This window comes from Homo sapiens, chromosome 21 (genome assembly GCF_000001405.40).
Source record: "Homo sapiens chromosome 21, GRCh38.p14 Primary Assembly".
Lineage (NCBI taxonomy): Eukaryota > Metazoa > Chordata > Mammalia > Primates > Hominidae > Homo > Homo sapiens.
The window spans coordinates 17,614,292-17,632,603 of NC_000021.9; the positions used below are offsets into that span (position 1 = coordinate 17,614,292).

At 39.5% G+C, this 18,312-nt stretch overlaps 1 protein-coding gene across 4 annotated transcripts in view; it reads left to right on the plus strand.

The window, feature by feature from the left end:
- CXADR (CXADR cell adhesion molecule) overlaps positions 1–18,312 on the plus strand; it is a 123,220-nt gene that overhangs the window by 101,249 nt on the left and 3,659 nt on the right. The window contains exon 8 of one of the 4 annotated variants that reach the window (XR_001754814.2): positions 12,602–12,758. The exons of 2 other annotated variants lie outside the window; for them this stretch is intronic. Coding sequence is in view for 1 of the 2 variants with exons in the window: in XM_011529479.2 (XP_011527781.1) it covers positions 12,602–12,605 (4 nt within the window). In the remaining variant the exon portion in view is untranslated. Of the gene's footprint in view, positions 1–12,601; positions 12,759–18,312 lie in introns of those variants that run through there. One more of the 4 variants, XM_011529479.2, reaches the window with a different exon arrangement.

The window sequence follows — 18,312 nt, forward strand, 5'->3', positions numbered from 1 at the left end:
CCCACATTACTCAAAATTTGTCCAGAAATTTCTATAGTTTAGGATTAGTATTTTGTGTAGTATTTATAAATCTGTGGTCCACATTTTCCAGTCTTAGAGCAGTACCATATTCAAAAAATACAGGCAAGAACCTGAAACCCAATTTCAAAATGACTTTTAAAAAATTCTCAGGCTGGGCACTGTAGCTCATGCCTGTAATCCAGTACTTTGGGAGGTCAAGGAGAGAGGATCATTTGACTCCAGGAGTTCAAGACCAACCTGGCCAACATCATGAAACCCAATCTCTACAAAAAATACACAAATTAGCCAGGTGTGGTTGCATGCAGCTGTAGTCTCAGATACTCTGAAGGCTGGGGTGAGAGGATCACCTGAGCCCAGGAAATTGAGGCTGCAGTGAGCTATGATAACATCATGGCACTCCAGCCTGGGTGACAGAGCAAGACTCTGTCTAAAAAAAGAAAAAAAAATTCTCATAGCTGAACACTGTGAAATAGACACATAGCAAACAATGTCTCTTAAACACTTTTTCTCTCATCCACTTCCCTTGCACACACAGTATTTGTTTTTATGTCTCTTTCAAAACTTGCCCTACTCTTGTGTGCTTCAGATGCTTTGCCCCAGCTCTCTTTCCTTGTGAGTTGGAATCACAAAATCACAAATGAATTGGTATGGCAAGGCAGAGCCCTCCTCTTTATGGGACTGAAAGAGGAGAGCTGCTATAAACTAAATGTTTGTGTCCCTCGCAATATTCGTATGTTGGAGACTAAATCCCCAATGTGATGGTATTTGGAGGTGGGGCCTTTGGGAGACACTTAGGTCATGAGGGTGGAACCTTCATGAATGGAATTAGTGCCCTTGTAAGTGGAAACATGAGAGAGATGATCACTCTGTCTGCTCTCTTGCCAAGTGAGGATATAGGGAGAAGACAGCAAACCAGAAAGCATACCTTCACCAGACACTGGATCTGCTGGTACCTTGATCTTTAACTTCCCTACCTCCAAACTGTGAGAAATTTCTGTTGTTTAAGCCACACAGTCTATAGTATTCTGTTATAGCATCCTGGAATAAGACAGGAGCAGAGCTGATGTAAATAATTACAGTAGTTCCCCCTTATCCACGGTAGGATATGTTCCAGGATCCCCAGTGGATGTCTGAAACTGCACATGGTACCAAACCCTATGTATAATTTATAAATTAGGAACAGTAAGAGATTAACAATAATTATAATAACAGAACAATTATTATAGTACACTGTAATAAAAGTTATGTGAATGTATGCTCGCTCTCTCTCAAAATATCTTATTGTACTGTACCACTGGTAACTAAAACTGGTGAAAATGAAACCAGGGATAAGAGGGAACTACTATACTCATTAATATGTATTTCCATTTCACAGCTAACTTTAAGATATTCACTTCTATTGTGTGTTAATGGTGTAGTTTGCTTTTAGCACAAGTGGTTTCTTATGAAAATGAGCCACTCTAATATGTCTAGGGCTTTATAATCACAGGAATCATCACACACATCCTGTGGTTGTGTCTCAGAGTTGCAGAGAATGCAACTTAGAATCAACAAAATCTGTGAAATAGCTTTCAAAATTAGGACTTATTTTCACTAAATATGTGAGTCTTTAAAATCCTTTGAACTCAAGAGTTCAGCATTAAAAGCAAAACAGTCGGCGGGTCGTGGTGGCTCACGCCTGTAATCCCAGAACTTTGGGAGGCTGAGGCAGGTGGATCACCTGAGGTCAGGAGTTTGAGACCAGCCTGGCCAACATGGTGAAACCCCATCTCTACTAAAAATACAAAAATTAGCCAGGTGTGGTGGCATGCTCCTGTAATCCCAGCTGCTCAGGAGGCTGAGGCAGGAGAATGGCTTGAACCTGGGAGGTGGAGGTTGCAGTGAACTGAGATCATCGTGCTCTGCACTCCAGCCTGAGCAACAGAGCAAGACACTATCTAAAAAAGAAAAGAAGGAAAAAAAAACAGTCTTGGGTACCATCTTCTCAATTCACTTGTCAAGTTTGAATCTGAATACAAAAGTCTTTTTTTTTTTTTTTTTTGAGACAGAGTCTTTCTCTGTTGCCCAGGCTGGAGTGCAGTGGTGCAATCTCGGCTCACTGCAAGCTCCGCCTGCCAGGTTCACGCCATTCTCCTGCCTCAGCCTCCTGAGTAGCTGGGACTACAGGTGCCCACCACCATGCACGGCTAATTTTTTGTGTTTTTAGTAGAGACAAGGTTTCACTGTGTTACCTAGGATGGTCTCGATCTCCTGACCTCATGATCTGCCAAAACAGTCACTTTTATAATGGACATGGAGGATTTTGTGTTATGTTAGTTGCATTAGCTATGTAGAGAAACTGGTATGTAACATAGAGGATGTTACGTTACATAGCATATGTTACATTATGCTATGTAACATCAAGGAAAAGTGTGTGCAGCCTTCTGGGGCCTTTGGAGGTCCAGCAAGTAAGATCTGAGACTATAATTTTAAGAACACTTCAACACATTTCTTCAAAAATTTCCAGAACTTAGCCATGTAACTAAATTAAAAAAGACTAAATCTACTTCTCTTGCATTAGCTTCTTAAATATCCATAAAGCAGCAGTGATTAAAGTATAAGCATAAAGAAAATTTGCAATCTTCATTATTTTCTCCGTTACATCATGCCATAAAACTGACTTCCAAAAGTCAAAACACAAACTCTCTTGATGAATGAGGCAATGGAAACTGGGCACACCAACCTCCTATTTTGAGTTGCATTAACTGTGGAAACTTTCCTCCCTACCTCAAAGAGGCCTCAAACTTGGCTCATCTTTTTCAGAAGAAAATGCTTTGATCAAACTTTTCATATTATTGTTTGGTAATTGGTTAGGATTTATGTGAACTAGGTTAGGGTGATGTATAAGTTATGACACTCAAGTGGGCCAGACACTCTATGCTTAGGTAGAACTTCATATTGGAAATCCCTGGAGTAAAATTTCCCAGCTTGGCAGGAGAGGTGCCATTATTGTTGTTGTTGTTGTTGTTGTTTGGCAATACTCTCCTATTCTCCATGCCAGCAGAGAAACTGACTTTTATTAGTGAGTAATGCATAAACTCCTATCTTTATTTTAGTATATGTGCTGCCGAAGCGAGCACAACTCCTATCTTTATTTTAGTGCAACAAAATTAAGAATATAATAAGAATATAGGTATTCCGGCATACCTCGGAGATATTGCGAGTTCAGTTCCAAACCACCACAATTAAGTGAATATTGCAATAATGCAAGTCACACACTTTTTGATTTCCTGTGCCTATTAAAGTTATGTTTACACTATTTGTAGTCTATTAAGTGTGCAGTAGCATTGTGTCTAAAAAGTACTTAATTAAAAAATATTTTATTGCCAAAAATGCTAATGATCATCTGAGCCTTCAGGGAGTCCTAATCTCTCTGCTGGTTGAGGTCTTGCCTCGATGCTGGTGACTGCTAACTGATCAGTGTGGCGGGTGATGAAGGTCGGGGTGGCTGTGGCAATTAAAAAAAATAAGACAGTAATAAAGTTTGCTCCATTGATTGACTCTCCTTTTCATGAAAGATTTCTCTGGTAGCTTGTGATGTTGTTTGGTAGCATTTTACTCACCGTAGAACTTCTTTCAAAATGCAAGTCCATCTTCTCAAACCCTGCTGCTGCTTTATCACTAAGTTTATGTAATATTCTAAATTCTATGTTGTCATTTCAACAATGTTCGTAGCATCTTCACTAAGAGTAGATTTTATCTCAAAACACCATTTTGTAGCCAGGCACCGTGGCTCACACCTGTAATCCTAGCAACTTGGGAGGGATTGCTTGAGTCCAAGGAGTTAAAGGCTGCAGTAAGCCTTGATCGCAGCACTGCACTTCAGCCTGGGCAACAGGAGACACTCCTCATTCATTCAAATTTTATCATTAAATTACAGCAATTCAGCCACATCTTCAGGGTCCACTTCTAATTCTAATTCTCTTGCTATTTCTACCCCATCTGCAGTTACTTCCTCCACTGAATTCTTGAATCCCTCAAAGTCATTCATGATAGTTGGAATCGGCTTCTTCCAAACTTCTATTAATGTTGATATTTTACCTTTCTCCTGTGAATTGCGAATGTTTCTAATGGCATCTACAATAGTAAATCCTTTCCCTAGGTTTTCAATTTACTTCGCTCAGAGCCATCAGAGAAATCACTACCTATGGCAGCTATAGCCTTATAAATATATTTCTTTTTCTTTTCTTTTTTTTTGGAGGCGGGGATGGAATCTTGCTCTGTCGCCCAGGCTGGAGTGCAATGACACAATCTTGGCTCACTGCAACCTTTGCCTCCTGGTTAAAGCAATTCTCTGGCCTCAGCCTCCCAAGTAGCTGGGATTACAGGCATGCACCACCACGCCCGGCTAATTTTTGTATTTTTAGAAGAGACAGGGTTTCACCATGTTAGCCAGGCTGGTCTCAAACTCCTGACTTCATGATCCACCCGCCTTGGCCTCACAAAGTGCTAGGATTACAAGCATGAGCCACCACTCCTGGCCATGAATGTATTTCTTAAATAATAAGACTTGAAATTCTAACTTATCCCTTGATCCATGGGCTGCACAATAGATGTTGTGTTAGAGGGCATGAAACAACACTAATCTCCTTGTAGATATCCATCAGAGCTCTTGGGTGACTAGGTAAATTGTCAATGAGCAGTAATATTTTAAGAGGAATATTTTTTTCTGAGCAATAAGTCACTTAAGTAGGCTTACAATATTCAGTAAACCATGCTGTAAACAGATGTGCTGTCATCTAGGCTTTGTTGTTTTATTTCTAGAACATAAGCAGAGAAGATTTGGCATAATTCTTAAGGGCCCTAGGGTTTTCAGAATGGTAAATGACCACTGACTTCAACTTAAAGTCACCAGCTGCATTATCCCCTATTAAGAGAGTTAGCCAGGCTGGGCGCAATGCCTCAAGCCTGTAATCCCAACACTTTGGAAAGTTGAGGTGGGTGGATCATGTAAAACCAGGAGTTCAAGACCCACATGGCGTTCAAGGAGTTCAAGACCAGGAGTTCAAGACCAACAGGAGTTCATGGCTAACATGGCAAAACCCTGTCTCTACTAAAAATACAAAATACAAAATTAAAATACAAAATTTAGCTGGGCATGGTGATGCATGCCTGTAATCCCAGCTACACAGGGGGCTGAGGCAGGAGAATCGCTTGAGCCTGGGAGGCAGAGGTTTCAGTGAGCCAAGATGGTGCCATTGTACTCCAGTCTGGCAGCCTGGGCATCAGAGCAAGGCTCTGTTTCAAAAAAAAAAAAAAGAGAGAGATTCAGGCTATACTTTGAAGATCTGAAGTGAGGCATTGACTTCTCTCCAGTTATGAAGGCCTAGATGGCGTCTGCTTCCATTATAAGGTTGCTTTGTCTCCATTGAAAATCTGCTGTTTAGTGTAGTCACCTTCAACCATGTTCTTAGCTAGATCTTCTGGATAAATTGCTTCAGTTTCTCTATCAGCATTTACTGCTTCGCCTTGCACTTTTATGTTATGGAGATGGCTTTTTTCCATAAACCTCATGGACCAACCTCTGATAGCTTCCAACTTTTCATCTGCAACTGCCTCACCTCTCTCAGCCTTGGTAGAATTGAAGAGAGTTAGGGGCTTGCTCTGGATTAGGCTTTGGCATAAGGGAATGTTGTGGCTGGTTTGATCTTCCATCCAGAGACTAAAACTTTCTCCATATCAGCAATATCATGCTATCTTATCATTCATGTATTCCCTGGAGCAGCACTTTTAATTTCCTTCAAGAACTTTTCTTTTGTATTCACAACTTGGCTGACGAGTTGGCACAAGAGCCCTACCTTTCAGCCTGTCTCGACTGACTTTTGCCATCCACGCTAAACTTAATCATCTCTAGCTCTTGATTTAAAATGAGAGATGTGTGACTCTTTTTTTCACTTGAACATTTGGAGGCCATTGTAGGGTTATTAATTGGCCTAATTTCAATGTTGTTGTGTCTCAGAAATGGAGAAGCCCAAGGAGAGAGAGACAGTGGAATGGCAAAGGTCAGTAGAGCAGTCAGAACACATGTAACATTTATCTATTAAGTTAACTGTCTTGTATGGGTGTGGTTCATGGCACCTCATAACAATCAAAATAGTAACATCAAAGATCACTGATCACAAATCACCTTAACAGATATATTAATTTTGAAAAAGTTTGAAGTATTGTGAGAATTACCAAAATGTGACACAGAGACACAAAGTGATCACAAGCTGTTGGAAAAATGATGCTTAAACACTTGCTTGACACAAGATTGCCAAAATCTTCAATTTGTAAAAAAACATGCAATATCTGCAAGTTCCAGTTAAGTGAAGGGCAATAAAGCTAGATATGCCAGCATTCAATTAGCAAAAGGTTCAGAAATAACGTAAAAAAAAAACTGCTTGAAATACAACTTTATTAATCAGGGTCCTCTAGAGTCAGAACCAATAGGAGGCACAGAGAGAAAATAAATAAATAATTTTAAAAGAAAAAAGACAGAGAGGAGAGATTTATTTTAAACAATTGGCTCATGCAACTGTGGGAGCTAGCAAGTTCGAAATCTACAGGGCAAGCTGGCAGGCTGGTAACTCAGGCAAGAGTTGAAGTTATAGTCTTAAACCCAAAATCCACTGGCAAGATTTTTATGTTATGGTTTTGAGGCAGAATTTCTTCTCTAAAAAACCTCAGTTTTTGCTCTTAAAATGTTCAAATGATTGATATCCACCCACATTATTCAGGATAATCTTCTTTACTTAAAGTCAACTGAGTATAAATATTAAGCACATTCACATCTAGCAATCTGGATGTGGGCACCATAGCTTAGCCAAGTTGACGCATACAATCAACCATCACAACAACCTTCATTCAATAGCATTTTCTTACAGGCATGATGATAAATAGGTTTTAAAACATAAATCCCCTAGTGAACCACATAAAGCATGCTTTTATTAAGAAAACAAATTACCTTGCTTTTATTTTTCTTTGCTCTTTTCAGTCAGTTGTGTGGTAGTGAGGATGGGGTGGGGACGGGGGAAGGAGGATTGGATGTCTGTTTTCAGGAGCATCTGCAGCATAACCATGTCAAATATTTGTGCTAGAGCATTGGGAACAGTGCACACATTAGAAAGGATCAAAAGGAAATAATAAATTGCTCACAATACAGTCAAAGATACTGCTATAAATTAATGTGACCCCTGCAAAATTCAGGTGTTGCTGATGCTATCAACAGTACCAAGAGATGGGACCTTTAGAAGGTAATTAGGCCATGAGGGCTCCTCTCTCATGAACAGGATTAGGTGCCTTTATAAAAGGGCTTGATGGAGGCTCTTCATCCCACTTGCCTTCAGCCATGTGAGGACACATCCTTCCTCTTCTCTAGAGGACGCATCTCTCACCAGATAATAGAACCTGCTGGCAACTTGATCTTGGCCTTCCCAGTCTCCAGAACTGTGAGAAATAAATTTCTGTTATTCATAAATTACCCAGTTCCAAGTATTTTGTTGTAGCAGCACAAACAGACTAAGACATATGTGAGCAATCTACTTTACACATTACAAGTTGTATTATGAATTAAATACCGCATAAAAGTATAAAGACAATAATGGTGTAGGTATATAAAAGGGTTTGTATGTGGTTGGGCTCCCAGCTGAAAGGAAGTTTCACAGGCTTATGAGGGCATCATTGCAAACCTTCTTTGTAATTTTCTGATACAGACTGGTAGAAAGGGAGAAGGCATAAACATAAAGGAATTGCCTCTGAGGCAGAGTCACTCCTTTAATACAGGCAACATCAGTTGCACCACAGAGATGGCTAGAATTAATCAGATTCACACAGCAAGTCCTGACACTTGATGGCTTAATTAGGGTGATTACGGGTAGGCTTTTAAAATTCTGCTTTGTCAGCAGATGACCCAATAAAATGTTACCGTAAAGAGCTTGTTCCCACCCCACCCCAGCCCAGGAGGAGCTCAAAACCTGGACTGTAGTTAGTATATTAATAATGTTTGTGATGTGGTTGGCAAAATATTTTGTAATGATGTGCTTATAAAAGTTGCTTTAGGAGGTAATGGCAGCAGGTCAGGTTTTTCTTTACCTTGTAGGAAGTTACAGCTAACTCTTTTTGTGATACAAAAAGACATGTCTATACCTATATATAATGCATATATGTATATGCTTTATTTCAGGGGGGCATGAAAAGAGATTTATGACAGAACATTTTTGTCAGTGTTTTTATCCTAGCTTGATGTGCTCACAAATAACTGGTTTTTTTTCCAGAAGGAAATAACTAATAAACTATGATGTGTATCATTAGCAACAACCAAAACACAATGGAGGTATTATGTATAGAAGGAGAGTAGAACGAAGTTGTTAGATTGGTGACTCTATTTTGTTTTGTTTTTGTTTGTAATTGTAGACTTGTAAATATTGAACTATCATGGAGCTGAAGAACGAATAGGAGAGAATAATTCTTCTCACTGAATGTTCAACATAAATATAATATAAAAAGGTGCACCATTCTAAGACACTAAAATGTTTCAGAGCAACAACTATTGGGAGAATATATTCACTAGTCCTTCAATATGGGTGTGTAGCTTATGCTAATTTCACTGGGGATCCTCAAGTATATAATCTGTTTAATTTGGAATATCTAAAATTAAGTGATGACTCTTTTTTTTTGAGACAGGGTCTTGCTGTGTCACCCACCTCAAGCAATCCTCCCACCTCAGCCTCCTGAGTAGCTGGGACAACATGCATGTGCCATCATGCGCAGCTAATTTTTGTATTTTTTTATAGAGATGGGGTTTCACCATGTTGCCCAGGCTGTTCCTGAACTCCTGGGCTCAAGCCATCCACCCACCTTGGCCTCTCAAAGTACTGAGATTTACAGGTGTGAGCCACTACACCCAGCCAAAGTGATGACTCTTTATTTTGGAAGTATTTATTTATTCTGGACCCTTTATTTCTTTGATGTATTTTTTAATTCGATTTTATTATCTTATAGACAGATAATTCATTAAATACATAACTAAATGTTTTAACAATATTTTGGTGTGTGTGCTTACTGATATGTTTGTATTCACAAATCAGAAAAAAAAAATTTAATGTAAGAGAGACTTTCGAAAACAATTAAGCCCCGAGGCAGCATCACTCCTCTCTTTACATTCATTTCCTCTGTGTTTGAACTCACCCCATGGTTTTGAGTACTGCCTGTGTGAGAGGACTCCCTAATTAATCATTCCAGCTCTTGATAATCCTCTGAACTTCAAACTTGTGTATCTAACAATGTGATGGACATCTCCACTTGGATAGCTGATAGGCATTTCATACATAACATGTCCCAAGATAAACCCTTGTTTGCCCTTGTCCCACAACTCCCACTAAACTTGCCACTCCTCTTTGTTATCTCATTATGTCTTTTTTCTCCATGGCTGGGACCAAAAATTTTGGAGTCAACAATGACACCCCTCTTTCCCCAACACCCCATAAGCTATCCCTGAGCAAATCCTCTTGATTCAACCTAATTTTCAATTCTTTTTGAGACACTCAAGTAGCAGTTTTAAATGGTTCAACCCAACATATCCAGAATCTGACCATTCCTATGTCCATTGTAATTTCCCTAGTTCAAGCTGTTGCATGAATGATGGCAACATTTGTCTAATTGCATTCTACACAGGGTAGTTCACAGTGATCCTTTTATCGTGTAAGGCTGATCGTGTCATGCCTCTGCCCCAAACCCCCATAGGCTCCCCATTTCACCCACAGTAAAAGACAAAGGTCTCACAATGTTCTACTAAGCCCCACAGTAGCTGACCCCTCATTTCCTTACCTCCCCCAGCCCATGCTTTCTCCCTCTCTTGCTTCATCTCCTGCTATACTCACCTCCCATTTCAATCAAGTCTCACAGTATTAGTTTTCTATTACTTCCACAACAAATGACCACAAATTGCCACACACTTAGCAGCTTAAAGCAACATAAATTTATTATCTCACAGTTCTGTAGTTTGGAGGTCTGAACTGTCTTGGCTGTTTCCTGTGTTGGTAGAATCCAGTGCCTTCAGTCTGCAGGACTGAGGTCCCTGTTTCGTCACTGGTGTCAGCTAGGGCCCACCCTTATCTCCCAGAGGACAATCCTTGCTCATGGGTCCCCATATCTCAGAGCCAGAAACAGTGCATGCTATCCTCATGTTTGGAATCTCTCTGATTTTTCCCTTCTGCTGAATCTCTCTTGCTGCAGCCAGAAAAAGTTTTTTGCTTTTAAGGGCTCATGTGACTCTATTGGACCCACCTGGATAATCTAGGATAATCTCTTTATCTTAAGGTCTGAAATGCCATTTCCGTCTGCAATTTCTTTGCCACATAATGTAACAAATTGACAGGTGCCAGGCATGTGGGCATGGACATCTTTGGGGCACCACTATCTGCCTACCATATGGTCTCTTAGCCACGCATGCTTCCATCTCTGGGCCCATATGCTTGCTGTCCTGCTACCTGGAATATTGTTCCCCCGGTTAATTACGAAGCTCATTACACAGCAGGTCCTTGCCCAGGTATCACCAGATCCTATCAGCCTTTCTGACCAGCCTGTAAAAGAAACATCCCCCATTACACTTTTTTTTACCCCTTAACCTGCTTTTTGTTTTCTTTCTCTAACCACTATCTGACAGAATATATTTGTGTATCTATTATATGTCTCCCTCTACTAAGACCTTTGGGAGCAGAAACTTTGATTTATTCACTCCTGGATTTGCCCTACCTAGACCTGTTTCTTGTACTTGGTAAAATGTTCAATAAATATTTGTTGAATCACCAAAAAAGCCCCAGAGGCCCCACTGCATTAATCATGTTTGGGCAAAAACATGAGTCCACGAAGTGTGAATTTTACCTAAGGAACTATTTTTTTTTTTTAAACTTATTCATAGGAATACCATTAGTTTGTCAAATGCCTTGCTGAGGTCATTATAGCAACTTCTATAGGTATCTCCTGAAGCTCTGAAAGAAAAAAATTTATTGCAGATTTCAAAATACATAGAAAAGGAGAATTCTAATGTTGCCAACACAAAGAAAAGTGTTTGAGGTGATAAATATCCCAATTACCGATTTGATCATTACACATTTTATATATGTATCAAAATAATGACGTACCCCAAAATATGTACAACTGTGATATATAATTGATATATTAATTTTAAAAAAGAAAAGAAGTAGTTTGGCATTACTGTCCTTGGTATACCTAAACTAGCTCAAAGTGTTCATCTCTTTCATCTCTAATTGCTGATAAACTTTTTATTAATCTGTGCTAAAATCTTTAAAGAGCTCGAGATCAAGTCTGTAGTTTTCAAATCACTTTTCATCTTCTTTCAAAATCAGGACATATACCATTTGCAAATTCCTGATATTTCTCTTATACATTTCCTCGTTTAATTATCAACAGCATACCTTAAATCTACAGATGATTCTAGCACCGGAGATATCAATCCCCTCAGAGTTACTATTTCTTCTTTTTCTTTAACTCCTCACCTTAGGATGTTAGCTCTGTTCTTTTTTACTTAAGGTTGCTTTTCTTGGAATAAAGAATGAAACAAAATGAGATTCTGAAGATTTTATTTTTGCCTCCATCTGCACTGAGCGGGAGTCTGAAGACTTTCTCTGAACTTAGCAAAACAGCTTTTTGAGAACCATTAGCCCATTTTTGACATTTAGCCTTCCCTTCCCCATTGTTATGGGTTTCAGCCAGTGACTTTTTCATTTGCAGCTGGTCTACCTTATGCAGTCTTTTCGGTTTCCTATGCATTTCCCCCTTTTCTTTCTTCATGGGCATTATTTTTCATATACGGACAGACTATTTTAGAGTTACCCATTTCTCATGAGCCATTTTCTGTTTTAGATATTTGTCAATGCAAACATACCTATCCCCTTGGAATTAAGACAGGTTTTTTAAAAAAATAATTTTTGAGCACATGCTAAATGTAAGCAAGAAAATGTGCTATATACTGCAGAGCAGTTTTTTCTCAAAATTGGTTCCTGGACCATCTGAATCTGAACCATGGGGTGGTGATAATGGTATTTATTACCATGTAAATTACCAATTACTCAATCAGAATTAGAAGGGGGTAGATGGGAGACTTGGGAATCAACATTTTTTTTTTCTTTATTTCTTACTTGATGAAAAGTTTCCCAAGGAATCAGCATTTTTTTTAGCAAGTTTCTCAGGTTATACTTTTCAAAGCCTGACAACTTTATCTGTCAAGGATATGCAGAAGCATAAGTCCCTGCTGATAAGAAGCTAATGCTATATTTAAGATGCTATGGCATAAAAATAACATAAATAATGAGTGGCACAGACAATCAGCGCACTTGAGTCAGCAAGTGCAGCTGCTGGGAATGGGGTAGTGGGTGTTAAGGCTGGCTTCATAGAGCAGGTGTTTATTGCTCATAAAAAGCACTCAAGAACTGTTTGTTGAATTAATGACAAAAGCTGTGCTGAAAGGTAAAGAAGCCATAATATTGTTTTAGTTGAGAAAGAACTTACAACCCTTTTGTTTTCCCCCATTATCATATAGGTAAAGAAATTGAGTTCCAGAAGAGTAATTGACACAATTGCCCCATGTCACACAACACGGTGGTATTGAAAGAGACAAGAAGGAAAGTTTCCTAACTTCAAACTTTGTGCTTTCTCCACTATCCCGTGAGAGAATTTGGACTGGCTACAAGCAAGGGGTAAGGCATTTTAAGAACTGGAGTAGGCCAGGTGCAGTGTCTCATGCCTGTAATCCCAGCACTTTGGGAGGCCAAGGCGGGCAGATCACCTGAGGTTGGGAGTTCGAGACCAGCCTGACCAACATGCAGAAACCCCATCTCTACTAAAAATACAAAATTAGCCAGGCGTGGTGGCTCATGCCTGTAATCCCCACTACTCAGGAGGCTGAGGCAAGAGAATCACTTGAACCTAGGAGGCGGAGGTTGCGGTGAGCCGAGATTACACCATTGCACTCCAGCCTGGGCAACAAGAGCAAAACTTCACCTCGAAAAAAAAGAGAACTGGAGTAAATTTAGTAAGATGTGTAATAAATGGGTTGTCATTAACCAACAAGGAAGGACAAAGGACTTGATTGAGAGATTGATGAAAGACAGGCTGGAAAAGGCAAGTTAAGATTGTGAGGCTGCGTGTGGCACCTCATGCACCTGACCTCACCATCCTGTAATCCCAACACTTTGGGAGGCCAAGGCAGGAGAATTGCTTGAGCCCAAGAGTCAAGACCATCGGGAAATATGGTCTCTACAAAATATTTAAAAGTAAATAAAAGAGAAGACTGTGAGTCACTTGAATACCAGAGCAAAAGGAGTAGATATTAGAGAGCTGCTAAAAATTTTGAGACAAGATAAAAGCAATGTTAGGAAAATTAACTTGTGGTTGCTACTCGGAAAGATGAGAGAGACAAAAGTTCAGAGCCAGTGAGATGCCAGATTAGGATCCAACTTTGTGGACCATGATGAGAAAATTAAGACCCAGATTGGTAAAAGTATGGATGTGTGAACAAATTTAAAGTTTGGGTCAATACAATATGGAAACAAATCCAATTCTGGTCTAGTTCAGTAGTTTCTTTCTTTTAGTTGATTAAGTTTTTAGTTGATTTTTTCTAAAAGCAAGTAATTCTCTTTTTTTCACACTAATGTAGAACTCAACTTTTCCTTTTCTCAAAGCCCAACTTTTTTTGTGCACAAACAAATCAATACTCAAATAAGAGTTATACACTTAAGAGATTATAAAAGCACCATTTCATTCAGCAAACCTTTAAAAGAAGCATCTACTCTTTGTTAGGCACTGTTCCAAGTTCTGGGCCTTTAGAAATGCATAAGATATGGTCTCTGTTTTAGTCAGGGTTCTCCAGAGAAACAGAACCAATAAGATGTGTATAAATATATATAAAGAGATTTATTTTAAGGAATTGGCTCACACGATTATGAAAGCGGGCAAGTCCCAAGATCTGTAAGATAAGTTGGGAAGCTGGAGACCCAGGGGAGCCACTGGTATAGTTCTAGCCTGGGTCTGAAAGCCTGGGAACCAGGAGAGTCCATGGTGTAGTTCCAGTCCCATTGCCGGCGGGCTTGAGACCCAGGAAGAGCTGACGTTTCAGATGGAGTCTGAAGGCAGAAAAACGTCAATGTCCCAGTTCTTTTTTTTTTTTGAGACGGAGTCTCGCTCTGTCGTCCAGGCTGGAATGCAGTGGCGTGATCTCGGCTCACTGCAACCTCTGCCTCCCAGGTTCAAGCGATTTTCCTGTCTTAGCCTCCCGAGTAGCTGGAATTACAGGCGCACGCCACCACGCCCAGCTAATTTTTTTGTATTTTTAGTAGAGATGGTGTTTCACCATGTTGGCCAGACTGGTCTCGAACTCCTGACCTCAGGCAATCCGCCCTCCTCGGCCTCCCAAAGTGTTGGGATTACAGGCGTGAGCCACCGTGCCCGGCCAATGTCCCAGTTCTTAGAAAGTAATCAGGCAGCAAGAATTCTCTCTCACTTGGGAGAGGGTCAGCCTTTTTGTTCTGCTGAGACCTTCAACTGATTAGAGGAGTCATATCCACAGCATGGAGGGCAATCTGCTTTACTAGGTCTACTGATTTAAATGTTGATCTCATCCAAAAACACCCTCACAGACTCACCCTGAATGATGCTGGGCTAAATAGTTGGGCATCCTATGGCCAGTCAAGTTGACATATACAATTAACCATCACAGTCTCTGTCTTCAAGGAGCTTACAACTTACTGGGGGTAAGAGACAAGGAGGCCAATGAATCACAGCACTTTGGGAGGCCGAGGTGGGCCGATCACTTGAAGCCAGGAGTTTGAGACCAGTCTGGCCAACATAGCAAAACCCCATTTCTACTAAAAATACAAAAATTAGCTGGGTATGGTGATGCAGGCCTGTAGTCCCAGCTGCTCAGGAGGCTGAAGTGGAAGGATCGCTTGAACCTGGGAGGCGGAGAGTGCAGTGAGCCAAGATGGCACCACTGTACTCCAGCCTGGGCGACAGAGAGAGAGAGAGAGACTGTGTCTCAAAAAAAAAAAAAAAAAAAATTAAAAAATTAGCCATGTATGTTGGTATATGCCTGTAGTCCCAGCTACTTAGGAGGCTGATGTCGGAGGATTACCTGAGTCCAGGAGGTTGAGGCTGTGGTTAGCTGTGATTGTGCCACTGCACTCCAGCCTGGGAACAGAGTGAGACCCTGTCTCAAACAAAACAAAACAAAACAAAACCCAAAAAGAAGCAAAAAACAAAACAGACAAATAAAATTGCAACTTGTAATTCATACTCCAATATAGGTCTTTATTTTAATTCTATGAAAACATCAAATGGAGGAGCTGGGCATGGTGGTGGATGCCTGTAATACCAGCTACTTGGAGGCTGAGGCAGGAAGATCACTTGAGCCCAGGAGTTTGAGACCAGTTTGGGCAACATAGTGAGACCCTGGCGCTATAAACAAACAAACAAATAAGCAAATAAATAAATAAATAAATAAAACAAAGTGGAGAGTGATAAACTCTGCCTGTGGAGAAAGGTGAAGTCAATAACGTTACAGGGAAAATAGTTTCTGTTTAGGAAAACACCAAGATGGGCCATTTTATTTATGGCTATCAAGCTATCTGAGCATTGCCAGAATAACCCAGGATGTCTCCAAACTGCCCCAGGTGGGAGGTAAATGGGCTTCCGGGTGTTGGATGTAGTTGGGACATTAAGAGTGAGATTCTAAGAAATCAAGGCTACCCAAAAATATATTGGGCTCTTTCTTGAATTAAAAAAAGACAGTCGAATGAAAGTTTCTAAGATTCAGGATTTATCAAGAGACCTAAGAACAGGAATATGTTATTTTTTACTTCCAAATTAGAAAATTGTATGAAGTGAAAAATTTTAAACATATCCAAAAATAGAGAGCAAAGCACAATGAAGCCCAATATCCATCGAGATTTAAAATTACCAAGATTGTGTCACACTTGCGTAATTGCTTTTTCTTTCTTTGCTAAATATTTGAAAACAAATCTTAGAAATCCTGTCATTTCACTCCTACATACTTCAAGATGCATCCCTAAAAAATATGGTCTTTTAAAAATTCATAATGCCATTTTTACATCTAACAAAATTAATAGTAATTCCTGGTATTTTTGGTATTATGGAATAGCCAGCAATATTAAAATATCCCTGACTGTCTAAAATATTTCTGTATACTGTTGGTTAGTTGAATGGTAACGCAAAGTCCACATATTTAAATGTTTTGACTCTCCTGTCTTTTAAATGTAGAGAAGACTTCCTTCTTCCTTCTTCTTTTTTTTTTTTTTTTTTGGTTTCTCATGGTATTGATTTGTTGAAGAAAATGCATCTATTGTCATTAAAAATGTTCCATATATTGAATTTGTTATAATATTCATTTTAAGTTATTTTTCTGCAATATAATCTACATTTCACTGTATTGTTTCAGAAATTCTGCTTCCTACTCAGCTTTAAGTCAAAGGTAATTATGGGAGCAAAGGAACTTAGGAGATACTTTCCAGGAAGGTAATGGATTACAGAAAAGAGGAAGGAAGTGCAGAATTCGAAACGCAGGGTGTCGAACAAGAAGACAAAGAAAGCAGCAATGGAGAAAGAGAGATGACGCAGAGAGAGATAAGGCAACTCCCTGGCTTCCTTGTACTTACCAAAAAAAGTGAACCAAATTTGAGATTCTCTAAGATAGTTGTAAAAAGATCAGTATTATATTAAAAGAATGATGGAAATCTGAATAGTAAAATGTATTGAACCTACTAAATAGTTTGTTACATTAGCACTGTGGGTTCTTTAGCCTAAATATAGAACTTACCATTTTTTTCTTGAGGAAAAGATAGATTATGACACTTACGGTAGAATCATGTAAAATTCAGTGGTAAATAGGTTCATGTAGTTTTACAGTTCGTTGCTTTTATAGTCTTAGACTATAAAATAAAACAGTTGAACTGAAAATGTCTGCTCTTACCCAGTTTTATCATCCCACTGCTTTTCACGCTCTTTTGCTTTTTGTTGGCCAGCACACTAGTTCGTTTTTAGCCAAGTATTTCAAAGTGTCAAATAAAAGTACTGCTGCAGCCAGGCAGCAGCTGACTTCATTTTTACTCAAGTGTGAGATAGCACTCACAGATGTCAACTTGTATTCTTTTTTAATGAAATAATTTTGATGAATTCTAAATATACTAAAGCATTGTCAGAATCAGCTTTGAAAATTCAGGGTTTAGTAATCAGTGCCAACTCCAGTGACACCTCAAACATACCAAATATTCGTTCTCTTAGAGACCTGGTGAGATTAACATGACAGTATTAATGATTTTAGCTTTCTATATTCACTCTTGGTATTGCTGTCATTTTATACATTTCTCCACATTACTGCCATCTAAGACAGACTCTAAGCTAAAGACATTTATTTGTTTTGCTCAGCTACCCCTACGTGTGGTAGACTAGATACCACTTGATTATGATGACAATTAAAGGAAGATGAGGCTTAAAAAATGCTTGAATTTGGATCACGGCTCACTGCACCCTCTATCTCCTGGGCTCAATAGATCGTTCCACCTCAGCCTCCTGAGCAGCTGGGACCACAGGTGTGCACCACCAACCTGGCTAATTTTTAAATTTTTTGTAGATACAGGATTTTATCATGTTACCCAGGCTAGTCTCGAACTCCAGGGCTCAAGTGATCCACCAGCTTCGGCCTGCCAAAGTGCTTGGGACCACAGGTGTGAGCCACTGCACCCAGCCTGAATTTGGAAATTTCAACAGAAAGCAGCAAACATGTTTGAGAATTTGAGTATAAATAACTTATTTATTTATGTATTTCCAGTTTCAGTACCACATAGTGAGAGATTCAGAGTGGACCATTCGCAGTTGACAAAATTCACACTTCTCCCCAAGAGTTTGAAGGGTTTTATAGTCTGTGTTAAGATTGAAGCCTGAGTGAAAATGTCTGTGAAAAACAAAGTTTAAGAGCTCAGAGGGAAACTTAAGAGAACACCATGTAAGTGAACAGCCTATTAAGAAAGATCAAGGATAAGAAGAACTATAAAAAGAACAGATAAGGAAAGCACTCAGAATAACAGTTGCATATTGATGTGGAGGCTCAACTCAAAGGGGGTTAGAACAGGCTGGTCAAGGTTTCCAAAGCGCGACATTTAGGAGACACAAACAAACTTGGCAAGTCATGTGGTCATTAACCTGTACTTAAAACTGAAGAGAGGCCGGGCGTGGTGGCTC